The 17,119-nt window shown below is 48.8% G+C and overlaps 1 protein-coding gene across 3 annotated transcripts, besides 1 other annotated feature; it reads left to right on the forward strand.

Moving 5' to 3' along the window:
• RGR (retinal G protein coupled receptor) lies at positions 769 to 15,676 on the forward strand. 3 transcript variants are annotated; one of them, NM_002921.4, is made up of 7 exons: positions 769 to 885; positions 3,307 to 3,463; positions 4,626 to 4,759; positions 8,573 to 8,726; positions 10,042 to 10,159; positions 13,609 to 13,722; positions 14,224 to 15,676. In NM_002921.4, the coding sequence occupies exons 1-7, from the start codon at positions 807 to 809 to the stop codon at positions 14,353 to 14,355; spliced, it is 888 nt and encodes a 295-aa protein (NP_002912.2). In that variant the 5' UTR covers positions 769 to 806; the 3' UTR covers positions 14,356 to 15,676. The 3 variants fall into 3 exon arrangements, with proteins under 3 accessions (NP_002912.2, NP_001012738.1, NP_001012740.1); NM_001012720.2 differs by having other exon boundaries at positions 4,638 to 4,759; NM_001012722.2 differs by lacking the exon at positions 13,609 to 13,722 and having other exon boundaries at positions 4,638 to 4,759.
• Positions 915 to 1,414: an enhancer, noted in NCBI's record as "H3K4me1 hESC enhancer chr10:86004955-86005454 (GRCh37/hg19 assembly coordinates)". NCBI's record gives its function as "activates a minimal SCP1, AML or CMV promoter by ChIP-STARR-seq in primed H9 embryonic stem cells {active_cell/tissue: H9 hESC(primed)}" and the evidence as "EXISTENCE:reporter gene assay evidence [ECO:0000049][PMID:30033119]".

The following is a 17,119-nucleotide window of genomic DNA, read 5'->3' on the forward strand; positions in this document are numbered from 1 at the left end:
AAGTCATTTGTAGCAGCCAAAGCTCTTAGTGGGGCCGGCAAGGCTGGGCGGGTTCGGGGTCGGAGACTGACAAGACGGCAGGCAGCCCCTCTGTTCTAAGACAGTGTCCTAGGACATTTTTTATGCTCAGGTGCTCTATGGGAGACAGGAAATGCAGCCCTGAGGTTTATATTCGTGATATCTAACCAGGACTTATATAAAGGCCACAGACAAAAGACATTGACATTGCAGAAAAGTAAACGGAAGAGTCCAGTGGTCCCACTCCAAGGCGCATAACTAGTTAGTGGCAGATTCAGAACCAGAACCCCAACCCCATTTTCTGGTCCCAGATGGGGTTCTTCCTCTGACAGCAGGCGACTTCCCAAGCCTCATCCTTTCCCCAGCGCTTTGGAGTATACTCATGTGAGCCTGAGGACACACACACAGGCACCAGGCTTGTTGGGAACAGCTGCGGCTCAAATCCCTCCTCCTGCTCCCCTCCCCTGGTTATGCAACTCTTTTCCAATTAGGCTCTCAGCCACACACCATTTGGATTCCCCGACCTTAATCCTGTGCAATGGGGCTGAAATGAATGAGACAGGGCTCCATTCTGGCTTCACAAAGGCTGCATTGTCCAACTCGTGAATGGGTTCCTTCTGCTTGGGCCAAGAGGACCATTTGCAGCGGGGAGGCATCCAGAAACAGCCCAAGGTCCAACATAATAACCTGCATGTGCCTCCACGCACATGGGATGGCCCTTTAAAAGGGAGGGCCTGGCTGTGGGAAGCCAGAGACAGCTGGGCCACTGGCAGTGAGGGAGAGTGAGGATGGCAGAGACCAGTGCCCTGCCCACTGGCTTCGGGGAGCTCGAGGTGCTGGCTGTGGGGATGGTGCTACTGGTGGAAGGTGAGCCAGGCAGAACCTGGGGTGCAGCGGGGGCCCAGTGGGTTCTGAGGACCCAGGCCACCAGTGTGGAGCTGGCAAGGAGAGGAGAGGTCCCCAAACCCAGCTGGGTGTCCGGTCCCATTGGCTGCCTTCCCCTCTGTGCCCGGACTCGGGGGGTGTTCTGACAATTGAACCTGTGAGGTGCAGCACACTGCCCGCTGGGAGCAGAGAGGAAGCCAGGCAAGGGTCAGGGAGGGAGGGACTTTGAAAGGGGACATCTGCCCAGGAGATGATCAAGAGCCAGGCTTTAGGACTTTTCATGTCCCTCCAGCCGGGAGAAAATTTAATCCACTCCTTGGAAATCCTGCTGAGAATCCCACATAAGATCAGTCCCCCAAAAGGCTCTGGGGACAGACAGCTCTGCCTCCTGCTCTTGTGTGGCTGGAACCAAGTCCCTTCAGCTCTCTGCCCTCAATGCCTTGACATTCCGAATGGGTGGTTGTAAAGATTAAATGGGATAATGGGTATAAAGTGCTAGCCTAAATAGACTCTAGGGTATTTAAGTTCATTCACTCCCATCCTCTCCAGCCCCACCACTATTTTCACTGTGTCTACTCCTATGAGCCCAAGCACTTCACCTCTGGAGGCAACCTGGGTCTGCGAGGTACCTACCTCAACCTAGAATCCCTAAGATGCTCGCTGAGGCCAGAGCTAGAGACAGTGTCAATCCTGAATCTGGGCCAGCCCAAGCTAAATTGATGGAGAACGCAGCTTTGGTTCAAAGCAGACCCAGAGAAATCATCAGCACGTTTTCTCACCTAATGAGAACTGACAATGGAGAGGAAGTGACAGTCATTAGATTGGTCCTGAAGGCTCTGGACACGACTGTCTGGTGGCCCCAGCCCGTGTCTCCCTTTCCTGAGAACCCTACAATCTAGCATCCTTCCAGGTCCTCAAACATGCCATAAAATTTTACCACTTTATTTTTTGGAAGGGGTTTAAATTTACATTTTTATTTCATGTTTAATGACTAGAAATGTCATTATATACACAATGCTTTGGTTTTTATTTTATTTAAAATATGTTTTAAATTTCAATAGCTTTGGGGATACAAGTGATTTTTGTTTACATAGATGAATTACATCGTGGCAAATGCTAGGACTTTAGTGCACTCATCACCCAAGTAGCGTACATTGTGCCTCATTTGTAGGTTTTTTTAATCCCACTCCCTCTCCCACCCTTCCCCTTCTGAGTCTCCAGAGTCCATTGTGTCCTCTGAATGCCTTTGCGTACTCACGGTTTAGCTCCCACTTGTAACTGAGAACAAACAGCATTTGGTTTTCCATTCCTGAGTTACTTCACTTACAATAATGGCCTCCAGCTCCATCCAAATTGCTGTAATAAGACATTATTTCATTCCTTTTTACAGCTATTATTCCATGATGTATATATACTACATTTTCTTTATCCATTCATTGGTCAGTGGGCACTTACATTGATTTCGTATCTTTGCAATTGTGAATTGTGCCTCGGTAAGCATAGATGTGCATGTGTGTTTTTGGCTGGATTAAATGGCAGATCTACTTTTAGTTATTTAAGGAATCTCTATACTGTTTTCCATAGAGGTTGTATTAATTTACATATTCCCACCAGCAGTGCATAAGCATTCCCTTTTTACCACATCCATGGCATTGATCTATTGTTTTTTGACTTTTTAATGATGGTCATTCTTATAGGAGTAAGGTGGTATCTCATTGTACCATAGCATGTCTTTGCACATGCTATTCCCTCCTGGAATGCTCTTCCATGCACTGTCCTGCAGGTAAGTGCTTCTCATAGTTTTGAAGGCAGGATTTTTTCCTGTTCCTCACTTTAGATAGGGGAAGCTGAGGTTCAGAGAGCTTAAGGAGCAGCAAGCGAGGCAACCAAGCCAAAATTCAAGGTCGGGTCTCTCTGTTGCCAGAGTACGCCCCCTTCATGTTCACTTCCATGCCTGGCGTCCTGGGCAGCTCCCAGCTCTAACATCGACTCTTCTCCTTGGAGCCTCTCTGACTTTGCTCTACAGTCCTTGGAGAAGGCATTTTGAAATCCAAAAGGCCTGAATTCAAGTTCCAGCTCCACCGCTTACTAGCTGTGTACTTAGGGCAAGTTAGCTAGTGTCTCTGAGCCTCAGTTTCCCAGCTATAAATGGAGAAGAGAGTATCCAAGTAAAGATTGAATGAGATGACTCATATAAAGTGCTTATCCTGGTGCCTGGTGTGTGCTAAGTGCCTGGCAGCTGTCAGTGATTATGACTGTTATAGCATGAAGCATGCTACCCTATATTGATTGTCTTCCTTGTCTGTCCAGGAGGTTGCTGATGTTCCATCCACCCCACACACACTGTTCTGACCCCAGCTGGGCCTCAGCAGCCCCAATGCCAGCCCCCACCCTTCCTTTCAGCTCTCTCCGGTCTCAGCCTCAATACCCTGACCATCTTCTCTTTCTGCAAGACCCCGGAGCTGCGGACTCCCTGCCACCTACTGGTGCTGAGCTTGGCTCTTGCGGACAGTGGGATCAGCCTGAATGCCCTCGTTGCAGCCACATCCAGCCTTCTCCGGTACCAGCCCCCTCCCCAGTCCACAGGCTCTGGGGTCCTGCCTGGGGCCTGACCCCTGGGCCCTGGGCAGCCAGGCCAAGGGCATTTTTACTACTTACAGAAAATTGGCCAAGGGCAGAGGGTGGGCAGGCTAAAATGGGCTGAATTCCAGATTGATTCTGAAGAACGACAGCTGATTTCTGGAAGACAGGGGTTGCTGAAACCTGATGAAAGAGATGGTAGGCTGTAGAGATCAATGGTGTGGGTTCTGTAACCAAGCAACCTAGGTTTGCATTCTGGCTTCAGCATTTCTAGTTCTGGGCTTCTTCCATAAATCGGATATTATTTCCTAACTCATATAGGTGGTTGGAAGTATTTACTTCTATTATGTGTAAATAACTTAAAATAATGCTTGATACCTAGGACTCTACGTAAGTGTTTGTGAACACAAATGGGGGCGTTATCACCACTACTGCACCCGTATGTATCTGGGCTCCTGGAGTGGAGGGACACCGATGCAGTGTGGAGAGGATAAGAGGCAGGGAGGGGCAGTCATAACTAGCTAGTGTCTAATACCTCCTTATACAAAAACCAGGGTCTTCCATCACAGCTTCAGAAGGTGTTTATAAAATTGTTTTCTGAAGCAGACTGGACATTCTCATTCTGGTTTTGGACACTACAGACGGAGGCTGGAGCCCCCCCGGATGTGCATGCTCAGTGCTGACCAGCCTGGGGGGTCTGCATCAGTGAGAACTCTTCCTCCCACAGAGAATTGAAGTTTCCACCTTTGCTTGCCCTTTTAGGCTGGGGAGGCCTGGGATCTCCCCTCTGACTTTGCCTTCATCTTCTGTGTGACCTTGGCTTCAGTATCTTTGCCTCTTTGAATGTCAGTTTCCCCACCTATCAAATACAGGCATGAGCTCTCCTGTGACAGAGGGATCTGATCACGCAGAGAGAGCCTATGGCCCAACCATGGTGCAGTCAAAGTCACCCAGCCTGGAGAGTGTGCATTGGGCTCCACCCCTTCAGCCCAGTTACTTGAGCTCCAACGCCTCATAGGAAAGACACCAATATTAAGGCCCTCTTCAGAGAAGAAGGGCAGCATTCAGGAACACACACTCCAAGCTGTACTTGGCAGGTGTGGGAGGTGGAAAGGATCGGAGGAGAGGTCACTGGTGCCCAGTGTCTCCCACAGGCGCTGGCCCTACGGCTCGGACGGCTGCCAGGCTCACGGCTTCCAGGGCTTTGTGACAGCGTTGGCCAGCATCTGCAGCAGTGCAGCCATCGCATGGGGGCGTTATCACCACTACTGCACCCGTATGTATCTGGGCTCCTGGAGTGGAGGGACACCGATGCAGTGTGGAGAGGATAAGAGGCAGGGAGGGGCAGTCATAACTAGCTACTGCTCCGTGTTTCCCAGTACAGGGAAGTGTGGGTAGGTGTGAGTGTGCATGCATAGGCACTCATTTCAGGAAAGGAGGGAGGGTGGGAGAGTGTGCAGGAGAGCTGTTGGGCCTCTCTTGCCATTACCGCAACCTTGGGCAAGTCAGGGATCCTCTCTGAACCTTAGTCTCCTCCTCTGCGAAATGATTTTCTTTTTCTTTTTGAGACGGAATCGCTCTATTGCCCAGGCTGGAGTGCAGTGGTGTGACCTCGGCTCACTGCAACCTCGGCCTTCTGGTTTCAAGTGATTCTTTTGCCTCAGCCTCCTGAGTAGCTGGGACTACAGGCATGTGCCACCACACCTGGCTAATTTTTGTATTTTTAGTAGAGATGGGGTTTCACCATATTGGCTAGGCTGGTCTTGAACTCCTGACCTCGTGATCTACCCACCTCAGCCTCCCAAAGTGCTGGGATTACAGGCGTGAGCCACCGTACCCGGCTGAGATGATTTTAATAACCAATCTCAGTTTTATTTTGAAAATGAAATGAGATCAGGGATACAGAAAATGCCCTTGCAGACAGGCACTACTCTGCAGACAGGCGCAGAGAGGCTGTGTGTATGTGTGTGTAGCTGGGCATGTGCCCTGGCACCCCACACTTCCATGAGGCTTCATGAAAACTGTCCAGCTCTAGATTTCACAAGCTGCACTGTCAAATACCATCTTCATAATTGGCCATATCAGTGTACAAACTGCTCCATTTTTCCTTAATTTTTTTTTTCTTAAAAGTGACTCATTTTTTAAAATGTAAACACCTGCTACAAGCTCATTCTAAACAACATCTGGGAAATCACAGGTTTAATGTTCTTATAATTTTAATACAATTAAAATAAAAACCTGTTCACCAGAGACCATCTAGAACCCTGTTTACCACCAGGGGTACATAAACATGTTTTGGGGAGCTGTGGCTCAGCTAACCCTCCTAGCAAACCTTCAGCTCACAGCCTCGGAAGCAGAGGCACAGAGAAGTTAAGCAGCTTGCCTCGCTACTAAGGGCAGAGCCAGCACTGGGCATGACCTGGTACCTCCAAGTCCTGAGCTATGAATTTGTCCAGCACAGAGGCTGCTGTGAGGTCTATAGCCAGCACAGCCTCAAACCATGGCATGTCCTCTTTGGAATCCACAGAACTTCCCTTGCCATAGTCACATGTATAGCCCCCTTCCCTGAAAATTCACTGCCCCTCATGGGTCTCTCCTGTCATATGCCTCTCTCCAGGCCAAAATGCTGCCATCGGTCTCATCATTTTGAGTGGCGATAGGTTAGCCCTCTTGTCCACTTGGCCTCAGAGCACTTCTCCCACTCCTTACATCCCAGCCCCTGCCCCTAATGCTCCCTTGGACCATCTTATACACACACACACACACACACACACACACACACACACACCACCTTCTCAGATAGCAACAGGCTTCTCTGCCTCAATATAGAACAGTTAATCCCTGTGCCAGAGGCCTTAGATCAAAGCCCTTTCTATACTGAGAGCATGGCAGAGCAGTGTGAAGGCAGGCAAAGGGGAATGAGGAGGTCTGAATTCATCTACTCCATCCCTGGGTGGTTGTAGGCATGTCACCTTGGCCATCTGTTTCTAAAGCTGAAAGTCTGAGGCAGCACAATGGTCCAGGTAGATATTAATTATTGTGCCCACAGAGAATTGTTTGAACCTGGAAGGCAGAGGTTGCAGTGAGCTGAGATGGCACCACTGCACTCCAGCCTGGGCAACAGAATGAGACTCCGCCTCAATAAAAAAAAAAAAAAAAAGAAGAAGAAGAAGAAGAAAAGAAAAGGCCAGGCATGGTGGCTTATGCCTGTAATCCCAACACTTTGGGAGGCTGAGGTGGGCAGATAACTTGAGGTCAGGAGTTCGAGACCAGCCTGGCCAACATGGTGAAACCCCATCTCTACTAAAAATACAAGAATTAGCTGGGCATGGTGGCATGAGCTTGTAATCCCAGCTACTTGAGAGGCTGAGGAAGGAGAATCGCTTGAACCTGGGAGGTGGAAGTTGCAGTGAGCCGAGATCACGCCACTGCACTCCAGCCTGGGTGACACAGCAAGACTCTGTCTCAAAAATTTTTTTAAAAAAAGACAGGAAGAACTGACATCTTAACTATATTGAGTCTTCCTGTCCTTGCACGTAATTATCGTGCCCACAGTTGGGATGGGAGGTGTCTTAGTCTGCCCAGGCTCCTATAATAGAATGCCATCGACTCGGTGGCTTGAACAATAGAAATTTATTTCTCAGTTATTCAGGCTGGGAAGTCCAAATGCGAGGTGTCAGCATGGTCAGGTTCGGTGAGGGCTTGATTCTTGGTTTATAGATGTTCACCTTCTTGCCATGTCCTCACATTAAAAGAGAGAGATTGTCACTCTTGTGTTCCTTCTTTCATTTTTTTGAAACAGAGTCTCACTCTATTGCCCAGGCTAGAATGTAGTGGCACCATCTCAGTACACTGCAACCTCCGCCTTCTGGGTTCAAGCAATTCTCCACCTCAGTCTCCTGACTAGCTGGGACTACTGGCGCATGCAGCATGTCCAGCTAATTGTGTCCCTTCTTATAAGGGCACTAATCACATCATGGGGGCTCCACCCTTATGGCCTAGTTATCTCCCAAAGGCCCCACCTCCAAATGCCATCACATTGGGGATTAGGGCTTCAACATATAAATTTGAGGGGACACAAACATTCAGTTCATATCAGAAGGTCACATCCAAGCAAACTCCATCTGGAGCCGTATCAGTAGAAGCAAACTGTCAGATGAGGGAGGTTGTAGACATGCTCTTCTCTCCCGATCAAAACCCATCTGGAGAACTGTCCTCTGCCCTGGTATCTTATATACAAAGGAGTATGACAAAAAAACAGTAGACAGAGGAGGGCACCTGGGAAGTGCATCCTGAAGCCAGATCCAGGAGGAACCACTGAATGGGAAGGACCCAATGACACTGCAGCAGAGAGGGGGGCTTCAGGGAAGGGACTAGAGGAGGTCAAATCAGCATGGCTGGTTCATATCAAAAGATGCTGCTGGGACCCAGCCTCTGCCATTGGCACTGAGATTGAGCCCCAACCCCCGAGTCAAGCATTCTCAGAGGGTGTCCTGGAAGCAGGGGCAGTGGCCTGATTCTGAGCAAGTGCTGAGGATGGTGGTAAGTCCAGACTTCTGCCTCCATCCCCTATGACCCTCACCTGAACCCCTGCCTATGCTTCTTCCTGAACTTTGTCTCTGAAAACGTATCTGTCTCTTTGCCACTCCCTCGTCTCTGTCCTCTGAAGAAGATGGTATAGTGTGTCTATTTGGAGACCTTCACCATCCATTATCTATTTCATTCTTCATAACAATCCTCTGAGGCAAGGATTATCATTCCCATTGTGGGCGAGAATACTGGGGCTCAAAGAAGCTCTTCACTTGCCTGAGGCTCTGAGTTATTAAGCATCAGAGCTGGGGTTCTCATTTTGGTGAGTTGCTTAGTTAACCCCTCTCTCAGCCTCAATTTTTTAGACCGTAACACAGGGATAAGAAAACCTCCTTCTGGCAGGATGTAGTGGCTCAATCCTGTAATCCCAGCACTTTGGGAGACTGAGGCTGGTGGATCACTTGAAGGGACACTCTTCGAGATCAGGAAGTCCATTCTTTCTCACTCTATCAGGCCATCTCCTCCTCACAACCTCCTCTTCTTCCTCTGTCCTGTGCAGGTAGCCAGCTGGCCTGGAACTCAGCCGTCTCTCTGGTGCTCTTCGTGTGGCTGTCTTCTGCCTTCTGGGCAGCTCTGCCCCTTCTGGGTTGGGGTCACTACGACTATGAGCCACTGGGGACATGCTGCACCCTGGACTACTCCAAGGGGGACAGGTGAGGTGGGAGGAGCAGCTTCGAGGCTCCTATCCATGGGAATCTTGGCTTTGAACTCCTATGACAAGGGTGCCCCAGCTGAAAATCCAAATGGGGAAATGTCAACGTTTGCCAGACAATCTCAACTTCTTAATCATGATACCCACCTGCAGGTGGACAGTGGGACTGGAAAAAGCCTGTTCTGAAAACTGGCCAGGTGATGGGAATGCTGTGAAAATTGGGACCCAGAGTTGAACCCAAAAAGAGACATCATACAGGGAGCCATTGGCTTGTGTCAGTGGTAACAGTCACCAAGCCGCACCACCTCTTAGCCATCTTCAGCACAGTCGACCATCATGGCTCTGACCTCATCAATTTCTAGAGGGAGCCACGCCCTTGGTACAATAGATTCAAAGAACATTAAGGTCCTTGCATTGGGAGGGAATGCCCTGAGCATACGCTATGAGGCAATCCCTGGAGAAATAGGACAGAATGCATGAGGGTCCCCACCCTCATGGGGCTCGTGTTCTGGTACTGCCCCATCAGGAGGCTCTAGGGAGACAAGGGCTTAGGGGGATCCTTTAGGAACTGCCTTGAGGAATGGTCACATGGGCTCCAGCCCCTCTTGCTTCCACCAGAGCCAAGTTGCATTCATCTGCTTTACCCATGGTGTTTAATCATGAGGCATCTGCACTGGATGACAGGCTTTCCAGGTGATGCATTCTTGAGAACGCTGGGCCTGGTCCAAGTGTCCCTCCATGGCACTCCCCAGCCAGGGTCCAGTCCTTCCAGCTGCCCCTCCCTGGTGGACGGCTCCAAGGTGACATAGTCTTCCCTTCAGAAAATGGGAATCTGTCTCCCTGGGACTCCCACTATTCCCTTCACCTCCCCATGACCACTACCTGGGAACCCAAGCTCTTCTGTGGTGCCTTCAACCATTTCTTCAGTGACACAGTATCCAGTCTTCTTGTTATCCCGTCTCCTTTTAAAACCTTTGGGCCTAGAATGCTCCTTGAATGTTCCTTTCTCTTGGCCCACTGACATCCCCACCATTGGGTGAACATGTTTCCCAAACTAAAATTTCCCATTCTTCATGCTTGGGGGACAAACAGGAAAGCAGGGCTGAGCACTTGAACAAGAAAGAGGCCTCTTCCTCCTTGTAGCTCCCTGGCTCCTAAAGGGAGTTCACCTGGGACCCGGGAGCAACCACACTGCGAGCTTGTCTGAATGGGGCATTTCCCCACAACCGATCATCTAGGGCAGAGCTGGTGGGTCCTTGAGGGCAGCTGGCCATCCCTGAGAGCTAACCCCAATCCTCCACCCGCTCTCCCTGTAGAAACTTCACCAGCTTCCTCTTCACCATGTCCTTCTTCAACTTCGCCATGCCCCTCTTCATCACGATCACTTCCTACAGTCTCATGGAGCAGAAACTGGGGAAGAGTGGCCATCTCCAGGTAAGGACCCCCTTCCGGAGTGTTATCTGATGGTGCAGCGCAGCTCCAGGCTCTTGGTGTCCCGAACAAAGAATTGGATGTGACACACACAAACAGCAAAACAAATATTCATTGCTTTTGCAGCAAAAGCTTATTCAGCACAGTATTACACTCTCAGAGAGGGGAGGGTGGACCAATCTCTGCGAAGTGAGATCAGCACCAGTTTGGTGTATTTTGGGCTCTTTTATATGTTTATTTTTCTTCTCTTCCCAAGGCTGCCTAATCTCTAGCCAGCATCTGCCTTTTGATTGATAGGTGGGTTGCTTATGTTACTTTGGCCCTTGTGTGCTTGCCTGTCACCTCCATCCCATAATCTTAAGTACATGCATGATATGCAGTCCATATGCATCAGCTTTAATAAGCTTATTATCATACGGGGTCATTTTAAGGATACTTTTTCTCTCTAATGCACATGCGCATCTCTGAGGAGCTGCCCCTGACAGGTTTGGTCCAGACCTAGCTGGCCACAGGAGCTTCTTACTCACTTTTTAATCTTATTTGTGTTTTGGTTGCTCAACTTCTGTTTCTTGTCTTGCTTCTTGCTCACTGCCTCTTCACCTTGCTTCTGCTTCTACTCATTCCGCCCTTTAACCTCCAATTCCCTCTGCTATTCTCCTGCCTCAAGAGCAGCAGTAATTTCTCGTTTCCTCTCAGGGACACCAGGGAATATGAACAATGTGACAGACAGCAACCAGGGGTTTTCTGCGTTTTCAGTGATCAAGAGAAAATCCAGCTTGTGCACAGCATAGGATGTTAGAACTGGAAACCACCCTCCCTTTGCTCAGATCGCCAAGGCCTGGGGAGCAAGGATCAGGACTGCTCAGATTCACCCAGACCCCGTAACTCTGGGGACCAGGGCTCCCTACTGGACACATCCGTGCTGTTCCACTTAACTCTTGCCAAGGATGTGAGGTTTGGCACAAAGTTACAGGCTTTTTAAATGCTACTTTTAAACCGCTTTGAGATGTTTAATTTAATCACAGTCACAGGGTGGTGCCCAAAAGATAAAAATCAACCTATAAGCACATTTGTCCAAGAAATACAATACTTCAAAATAAGCCCTCCTGGCCATTTTTTAGTTTCTGAATTACTATTCCCTTGCCACGGTTTTATTTTAACTTGGTCACCTGGATGACCTCTAGCAAAGGAGTCGTAACAAGCAACAAAGATTAGAACAAATTCAGATCTTAATATTATTTCTTTGCAACCACTCTATGAGGAAAGAGGTTTTCTTTCTTTTTTTTTTTTTTTTTTTTTTTTAGGCCGAGTTTCACTCTTGTTGCCCAGGCTGGAGCGCAATGGTGTGATGTCGGCTCACCGCAACCTCCGCCTCTGGGGTTCAAGCGATTCTCCTGCCTCAGCTTCCCGAGTACCTGGGATTATAGGCATGTGCCACCACACCCACCTAATTTTGTATTTTTGGTAGAGACGGGGTTTCTCCATGTTGGCCAGGCTGGTTTCGAACTCCTGATCTCAGGTGATCCGCCCGCCTCCGCCTCCTAAATTGTTGGGATATAGGCGTGAGCTGCCGTGTCCAGCCTTTTTTTTTTTTCTTTGTTTCTTTTTTTTTTCCTTTCTTTTTTTTTTTTTTTTTTTTTTTTTTTTTGAGACAAGGTCTTACTCTGTTGCCCAGGCTGGAGTGCAGTGGCAATCTCGGCTCACTGCAACCTCCGCCTCTCGGGTTCAAGCGATTCTCCTGCCTCAGCGTCCCTAGTAGCTGGGATTATAGGCACCTGCCACCACGCCTGGCTAATTTTTGTATCTTTTGTATCTGTTGGCCAGGCTGGTCTTGAACTCCTGACCTCAGGTGATCCACCCACTTCAGCCTCCCAAAGTGCTGGGATTACAGGTTTGAGCTATCGTGCCGGCCAGAAGGAGGTTTTCTTATCCCTGTGTCGCGGACTAAAAAATTGAGGCTGAGATGGGGGTTAACTAAGCAACTCACCAAAAACCACACACCTGGATTCAAACCTAGGTCTGGGACTCCACCACCCATGTGGTCAATCACAGTGCATGAAAGAAACTCTTTTTTTTAAGTCACTTCATCTGCCACTTTATTTATTTATTGTAAATTGGAAAAGGACTGTGCAAATCTATTTTAGCTGGAGCCCCGATGCTCCCCCGAGGTCAGAAGGAGAGAAAGGGCTTTCCTGGGACCAGAATCCAGTCCCCTGGCTCCCAGCTGGCTGCTGGCATAGGCGCCGCTTCTAGGCTGTCCTCCGCGATGCCGGTCCCAAGCCCTGTCTGGAGGTGCAAAGTTCACATTTACTGGAGGCTCAGGCAGCCGGGAGACAAGGCTGCCACCATGATCTCCTCATTTTTCTGCGTTGACTTTAAACCATTGTCTCTGGTGGGCATCGCCAAGGTCACACGCAGGGGTCCAGGGACCTCATCCCAAGCTGAGCGGCTTCCCGAGACCGCGTAGCCTCCCCAGGGGATTCCACGTCTTAGGGCCTCGGCTCCCGGGAGGGCCCCGAGGTGCTGAGCTCCGTTGTTCGTGGGTTTTTTTTTCCCCAAATAAGGGACAGTTAAGAGGAAAAAAAAAGTCTCTTGGTCAACATATTTTAATAATCCAAGATGGAAGAAAATATGCCCTCTTCCAGCTTAATCACCCTCTTTGTTAAAGAAAGTCAGGTCAGGGAGAAAACAGGCAAGAACTTGAGCGTCAGAATTGCACGTCCGCGTGTTTGTGCGGGGCTGGAACTTGGCAGCTCCCGCTGAAATTAAAGCGCGAGTCTTGCGCCCCCTCATGGCCCCAGGCGGCACCCCAGCATCTCCCGCTCTCTGGACAAGCCCCTCCCCCGCTGATTGTATTTCACATTGGGAGCCCAGACAGGGTGGTCTCGCCGGGTGGCTGTAGCTGTGGATGACGAGTTGGTTCTAGGACTGAGGCCTGAGGGCAGCTCAGCCTGGGGCCCCTTGAGCACGCAGTCACAGAGCCCAGGATTCCTCTTAAAGAGCACAGACGCAGGCCAGGCACAGTGGCTCATGCTTGTAATCCCAGCACGTTGGGAGGCCGAGGCAGGAGAATCCCTTGAACCCAGGAGTTCGAGACCAGCCTAGGAAACATAGTGAGACCCCTTCTGTATTTGACAAACAAAGAGTACAGACCCAGGAGGAAGCGCTCATTATCCACCCAGTCTCGGCCTCCAGCCACGTTGGGTATTGTCAGGCCATTTTACAGACACAGCAGCTGAGGTCAGGCAAGTTTAAATAAAAGGCTTAAGGTCACACAGTCTTAAACAACAGAGAGGCCCATCTGGTCCCAAGTTCCCCTGCAGACTCAGCCCCCTCCTGAAGCCTGGTCCATGCTGCCCCGCCCTGCTGAGTGCTGACCTGGTTTTCTTGGCCACATAGGGCTGTGGGCCACCTGGAGCAAGCTGACATCTCCTGTGACAATTTCTCCCCAGGTAAACACCACTCTGCCAGCAAGGACGCTGCTGCTCGGCTGGGGCCCCTATGCCATCCTGTATCTATACGCAGTCATCGCAGACGTGACTTCCATCTCCCCCAAACTGCAGATGGTACAGATACTTCTAGTACCTAAAACTAGACCCCTCTCCATCTTTGTTCTCTGTCTCATCTCATCTCACTTTCTGGATTTATGACCTCTGTGTCAGTCTCTTCCTTTCTGTGTTTCTTCCTTTGGATACTCACAAGGCATAGAGCATTAGTTTGCCCCCCTAATCCCCCACCTCGTCTCTGAGTCATACCAGGCTGCTGCTTGACATTGCCCAAACCTCATGTGAGATGACAGGGACAGCCAGCCAGATGGTGTAGATAAAGACTCTGTGACCAGGGGTTGAGATTAGTCCCCAGGCTGGGAGCAGGTGGGTCTGGACAAGAGTATGGCTCCATGGACTCCGTGAGCCATGCATCTCCACCAACTAGTCAGGGAAGCCTCCAAGGCTGCAGAACTAAATGATTGGCAGTTGTAGGTGGAGGGTGACCGGGGTCACCAGGTGAGACCAGAGAGAGGATCAGTGGCTTTGAAGCTTCTTTTCTGGACTTTTCTGCCACAACAGGTGCCCGCCCTCATTGCCAAAATGGTGCCCACGATCAATGCCATCAACTATGCCCTGGGCAATGAGATGGTCTGCAGGGGAATCTGGCAGTGCCTCTCACCGCAGAAGAGGGAGAAGGACCGAACCAAGTGAGCCTGCCACCCTGGAGTGAGCCCCAGGCCAGGAGGCTGTTCCAGGAGTCCTGCCCAGCAGCCTCAGTGGCCAAGCCCAGACACTCACCCACCTTCCCCAGTGGCCCCGTGGATCCTGGTCCTAGGCTGGACACAGGATTCAGAAAGACACCAGGCTGCACAGAAAGAGCCAGATGGACCTGAGTGTCGGTCACAGCCCCCTACACTCAAGGCTGAGAGGCCTCAGGAAAGTCATTCCTTTTTAAAAATAATAATAAATGTAAGGGGGTACAGTGCAGTTTTGTTACATGGATAGATTGCCTAGTGGTGAAGTCTGGGCTTTTAGTGTAACCATCACCCTAATAATATACGTTGTACCCATTAAGTTATTTCTCATCCCTCACCCCCTCCCACCTTGTCACCCTTCTGAGTCTCCAATGTCTATTATTCCACACTCCATGTCCACGTGTACACATTATTTAGCTCCCACTTACAAGTGAGAACATGTGGTATTTGACTTTCTGTTTTTGAGTTATTTCACTTAAAATAATGACCTCCAGTTTCATCCATGTTGCTGCAAAAGACATGATCTCGTTCTTTTTTATGGCAGTGTAGTATTCCATTCCATATACATATATAAACGTTATATATATGTAACGTTTTCTTTATCCAATCATCTGTTGATGGATAGATTCCATATCTTTGCTACTGTAAACAGCTGTGATAAGCATACAAGTGCAGGTTTCTTTTTGATATACTGATTTCTTTTCCTTTGGGTAGATACCAGTAGTAGGACTGCTGGATCAAATGGTAGCTCTATTTTTAAGACAGTATGGAGAAATCACCATACTGTTTTCCATAGGGGTTGTACTAATTTACAGTCCCACCAACAGTGTATAGGTGTTCCCTTTTCTCTGCATCCTTACCAATATCTGTAATTTTTTGACTTTTTAATAATAGCCATTCTCACTTGTGTGAGATAAGGTCTCATTGTGGTTTTAATTTCCATTTCTCTGATGACTTTTGATGTTAAGCATTTTTTCATATGCTTCTTAGCCACGTGTATGTATTCTTTTTGAAAAAATGTTTATTCATGTCTTTTGCCCACTTTTTAATGGCATTATTTGGATTTTTTTTGTTGAGTTATTTGAGTTTCTTATATATTCTGGATAATAGTCTGGATAATATATTCTGGATAATATATAATAGTCTTATATATTCTGGATATATTCTGGATACATGGTTTGCAAATATTTTCTCCGGTTCTGCACGTTGTTCATTCTGTTGATGGTTTATTTTGCTGTGCAGAAACTTTTTTAGTTTAATTAAGTCCCATTTGTCTATTTTTGGTTTTGTTGCTTGTGCTTTTGAGGTTTCTGTCATGAATTCTTTGCCTAGACCAATGCCCAGAAGAGTTTTTCCTAGATTTTCTTCCAAGATTTTTATAGTGTCCATTCTTACACTTAAGTCTTTAATCCATCTTGAGTTGATTTTTTTTTTTTTAAGACGGAGTCCTGCTCTGTCACCCAGGCTGAAGTACAGTAGCACCATCATAGCTCACTGCAACCTTTGCCTCCCAGGTTCAAGCAGTTCTCATGCCTCAGCCTCCTAAGTAGCTGGGATTACAGGCATGCGCTACTATGTCTGGCTAATTTTTTGGGGTTTAGTAGAGACAGGGTTTCACCATGTTGAACAGGCTGTCCTCAAATTCCTGACCTCAGGTGATCCACCCACCTTGGCCCCCAAAGTGCTGGGATTACAGGCATGAGCCACCGTGTCTATCCTTGAGTTGATTTTTATATATGGTAAGAGATATGGGTCCAGTTTCATTCTTCTGCATATGGCAATTTAATTTTCCCAGCACCATTTATTGAAAAGGTGTCCTAACATCACTCCTTCTAAATCCTCTAACCCTTAACATAAGGATGTTAACATGGACATCACAGGGTTGTTGTGAGGCTTGAAGATAACATGTACTCACTAAGCACATAGAAAATACTCATTAAAACAGAGCTGTTCGTTAAGTCTTGGCCATGCCTTGCAGGGACTCAGTCTTACATAGAAAGGGGTAAAAGCCCCAGGGTTTGCTTATGGGACCTCAAGCCAGGCTGCCAGCATTCAAACACCATGTATTAAATCGTGATCTGCTGCCCGTCACTTCCTCTGCCTGTGCATCGTTTCCCAAGTTGGGAGGTGAGATGATGGAAGTGGCAACTTGACTACACAGAAAGGACCAGAACATTCCCTGTCATGGTAAGTGCTCATGGAGTATCAGCCACCAGTACATGCCAGTCAAAGACAGCCTCTGGTAATACGGGGCTAGGCCTGCACATTACTTTAAAATGTTTTGAGGTTTGTTGCCAACATTTAAAAATCAGGACAGTTTATTTAAATCCAGATGTCAGAAGATGAGGCTTTACCCGGCTGCCTTCCTACATTGTTACAGTTTGTAGAGCTCAGGGCAGCTCGGCCCTTTGCCCAGGACACATGCTCTTGTGTCAACCTCAGTGCCTGTGTCCCCTGTTGATCCTGTGGGCCTCTGGGTTTGTGACAAGAGCCATCCCGAGTCCCCAAGAGAAAGAGACGAGGCCGAACACATCAGCGTCCTCATCTGTGCTCAGAGGAGAGGCAGGGAGGAAGGTGGTTTGGTTAGGCTGCTTTCAGGGATGGCTTAAGCTCAAGCCTTGCATCCCCAAGGCTTCCCGCAGGAGTGAAAGGAGGGCTTGGGAATGGCCACCCTGGCCTGGGTTGGCAGGAGATGGGAAGGGCTGAAGCAGCACCTGGTG

The sequence above is a fragment of the Homo sapiens genome, chromosome 10 (assembly GCF_000001405.40).
Source record: "Homo sapiens chromosome 10, GRCh38.p14 Primary Assembly".
Classification (NCBI taxonomy): Eukaryota; Metazoa; Chordata; class Mammalia; order Primates; family Hominidae; genus Homo; species Homo sapiens.

Coding starts and splice junctions, on each gene's coding strand:
- RGR (NM_002921.4), top strand. CDS start 807: ATGGCAGAGACCAGTGCCCTGCCCACTGGCTTCGGGGAGCTCGAGGTG. Junction 3,464..4,625: donor GCCACATCCAGCCTTCTCCG/GTACCAGCCCCC, acceptor ACTGGTGCCCAG/TGTCTCCCACAGGCGCTGGC. Junction 13,723..14,223: donor TCTCCCCCAAACTGCAGATG/GTACAGATACTT, acceptor CTGCCACAACAG/GTGCCCGCCCTCATTGCCAA.